Source organism: Homo sapiens, chromosome 11 (genome assembly GCF_000001405.40).
Source record: "Homo sapiens chromosome 11, GRCh38.p14 Primary Assembly".
In the NCBI taxonomy this organism is placed as follows: domain Eukaryota; kingdom Metazoa; phylum Chordata; class Mammalia; order Primates; family Hominidae; genus Homo; species Homo sapiens.
The window spans coordinates 127,369,978-127,373,340 of record NC_000011.10 but is presented as its reverse complement, the minus strand read 5'-3'; the positions used below and the strand labels follow the sequence as shown (position 1 = coordinate 127,373,340).

The 3,363-nt window shown below is 41.1% G+C and overlaps 1 annotated feature.

The window, feature by feature from the left end:
• Positions 1,400 to 1,600: a silencer, noted in NCBI's record as "peak1506 fragment used in MPRA reporter construct". NCBI's record gives its function as "represses an SCP1 promoter by STARR-seq MPRAs in K562 erythroleukemia cells {active_cell/tissue: K562}" and the evidence as "EXISTENCE:reporter gene assay evidence [ECO:0000049][PMID:32103011]".

Here is a 3,363-nt window from a genome sequence, read left to right as displayed (position 1 = left end):
GGGAACTGATAGCCCATGCCCTATTTTCTATTCAGCCCCATAAATGATGAGAATCAGTTCTTCACTCACTAAGCAAGAGACTAGTAGAGTTTTCTCTGGGGAATTTCACTGTGCCAAGAGGAAAGACATAAAGAAATTGACACAAGAGGTTTTCCCACTAACTGTCTGAGTCTGATTCCCCCAAGTCTACATCCCACAGCTGCACTATGAGAATTTCCAGTGAGCTTTGTAACAATGACTCAAAAACAGGATCTGGTAATTAAGGACTACCAAACACCTGAGGATAGTTTATACAGGTTGACCAACCCTTATCTGAAATGCTTGGGACAGACATGTTTTTGATTTCAAAATTCTTTTGGACTTTGGAATATTTGCATATACACAATGAGGTAACTTGGGAATGAAACCCAAGTCTAAACATGAAATTCATTTATGTTTCATATGCACTTTATACACATAGCCTGAAGGTGATTTTATATAATATTTTTAATAATTTTGTGCATGAAACAAAGTTTTGACTACATTTTGACTGAGACTCATCACATGAGGTCAGGTGTAGAATTTTCTGCTTGTGGCATCAAGTCAGCACTCAAAAAGCTTCGGATTTGGGAGCATTCTTATTTCAGATTTTTTAATTAGATATGCTCACCTTATGAAAAATACAGATCAAAACAAATATAAACAGACACAGCTTAAAGAAAACAGTGACTCTGCAAGGAGAAGAAAACTCTTATCTCTATACTTTTAAATAAGAATAAATTGCAACCATGAAACAGGAACAGACGTCAAGTAAAGAAACACTAGGAGCTCCAAAAGGAGGCCCTGGACGTTCTAAAAAAAATCATATACTGGGAAAGAAAAACTAAAGAGAAGTTTCGAAGACAACATTGAGAATCTCTTACAGAATATGTAGCAGAAAGTAAAAAGGAGATGGAAAACAGGAAAGCAAAGATGAGGAAATACGAGGACCAGTCCAGGTGGTACAAACATAGATGATCACAGCCAGGTCATTGGATCCAAGGTCCTTGTGATATCAAAGGATCGTCACTGGGGCTGGGAGGTGCTTGAATGAGTGAGTTGAGAAGATAGCGTGTGGGAAGAAAACTAACGAATTGTAGTGTTAGAAGAGAAAACATGAGTGAGAACTTCACTTTAGTCATCTCAAATGCTACAACAAGGGCATATAAAATGAAGGTGAGAAAGCAATCATTAGATTTAGGTTGCTGGTCATTAGGAACCTGGCAAGCAAAGTTTCTTAGAAGACATAGAGGGAGAACCCAGATGGCGCTGGGCTGAGTAGCGGTTGATAAATGAGAAAGTGAGAAAGTGCCTTTGGCTACCTTTTAAAATGTTATTTCTAGGGATGTAGGTGTGAATAGGAGTATGCTGTGCAGATGATGAATCTGCGTGACTTCATTGTCCATCATAATGCATAGTCTACAAGAAAGGTTCAGCCTCGGGGAGAGATTGAATAAGCCCTCCTCCCATGCAATCTGCTTACAGTGAACTAAAGTTTCCGCAAAAACTAAACTAAACTTAAAAGGACACTAAAGTGTTCCAAGAACTACGAAGGACACTAGAGTGTTCCAAGAACTAAGAGAAAAGAGTGAGGCTAGTGTTAATTAAGTTAAAGTCTACTGAGGTGTCTGATGAGATAAGAGCTAAGAACTCTCATTAACTTGTCAACACGGGGGATGTTGGTAACCTTATAAGGGCAGTTTGGATGGTGTAGGAGACACCAAATTGATGTGGCAATGAGGAAGATATTTTTGAATAAAGGTATTGCGATGGTACCAGATCCTGTAATGAGATAAGCTTCAAGCTACACTTATACCATAAATCATAAAAATCATGAGCATAGGGAATAACCGCCATGTCTCATCGAGGAGTCTGGAAGCTTGTTCCTGTGGGAAATGCCTCACAGCCATCCTCCTCGCAGGCTCAGTCACAGACACACCATGAAGACTCCTGTGCCCTGGATACCGCTGGCTTTTGGAATATTTCCAGGGTCTTTCCCTGACTCCTCTTTGAGCTATCTTGACAATTCAGTACTACAGATTTTTAACCTCAGATCTGAATCTCCCTACACATGGACCTTGTTATTCAGAGCTTCCCTTGCTTCTTGACACAGCTTCGCTGAGAACCTGGACATCCACAGCCCTGGATGTCAAGCCCACACTGGCAGGAGCCCGACTGTCCCCACAGCAACCCTGGCTGCTAGAACTCATGCTTAGAGCAAGCTCTAGCCCAGAAATGGAGAAGAGAGATGAGAAAGGAAGGAAGCAAATTGTAGGAAGAGGTGTGTATAGAGCACCCTTAACATAAGTGACTCCATCTTAGAAAAAGATTCCATTTTACGTTTCAAATGGTATCATGCCAACTAGGACCAGATATTCACCTAATCAATAAAAACTGCACCCAACCAGATAAGAACATAAGCAGGCATACTCTTTCACTATCAGTCCTCACCAGAGCACTCTGGCAATAAAAAGAGCAGGACTTCACCAGCTTGAGACAGGTGTCTTGACTGACCCCATCTTGCTGTCATTCATGATCAGCACTCAGCATCTATGGCTGAAGGCTCTGCCCAAATCAGAGACTGTTCCTTGCAAGACATTGCCATCCATCCGGATCAGGCCAAGACACTCCTTATCCACGTCACTCTCCGTGGACTGGTTTATTAAGCATTTTTTTTCTATCTCTTTTTCTCTTCATGTTAAATGTTACTTTGTTTGATGGGAAATGTTTAATCTATAACATTTATATATTGATTAAGTACACTATTATGCATGGTTTGCAGTATTGACTGACTTGTGAAATGGCTTGAGCCTGCGTGCCCACAGCTCTGACTACTGAGTGAACAGGACGTCCTAAAGAGAAATGACCTTGGGAATTCCTTGTAGCTTGTGGCTTTTATGATTGAAATTGCATCAATAAAAGTCTGATTTTCTGGAATGACACAAACATGCGTGGACCTGGTTATGTCTGACCTTGCGCCACTCATGACAAGCTGTGTCTACGACAAGGGTGTTAATCACACAGTAGCATCTTGGGATCGTACCAGGATAACAGGGGATGATCAAGTTTGAGCACAGCGCCTGGTATATGGAATGCACAAGATAAAAGTAAGTTGTGATTGTTGCGTTGGTGGTTGATATTATTCTTCATACAGAACAACCAGCTCACCTGCCACCACTAACAGCAAAAAGGAAGGGGTCATGAAGAAATGAAGGTGAGGAATTGTCATAATAATGCTGTAAGTTTAAGGTGCCAATTCACCTCAAATGTCACTGTTGGGGAAAATGAGTCTTACAGAAGGAAGAAACCAGCCCAAAGCTAGTAAGTGGCTGAACCAGCATAGGA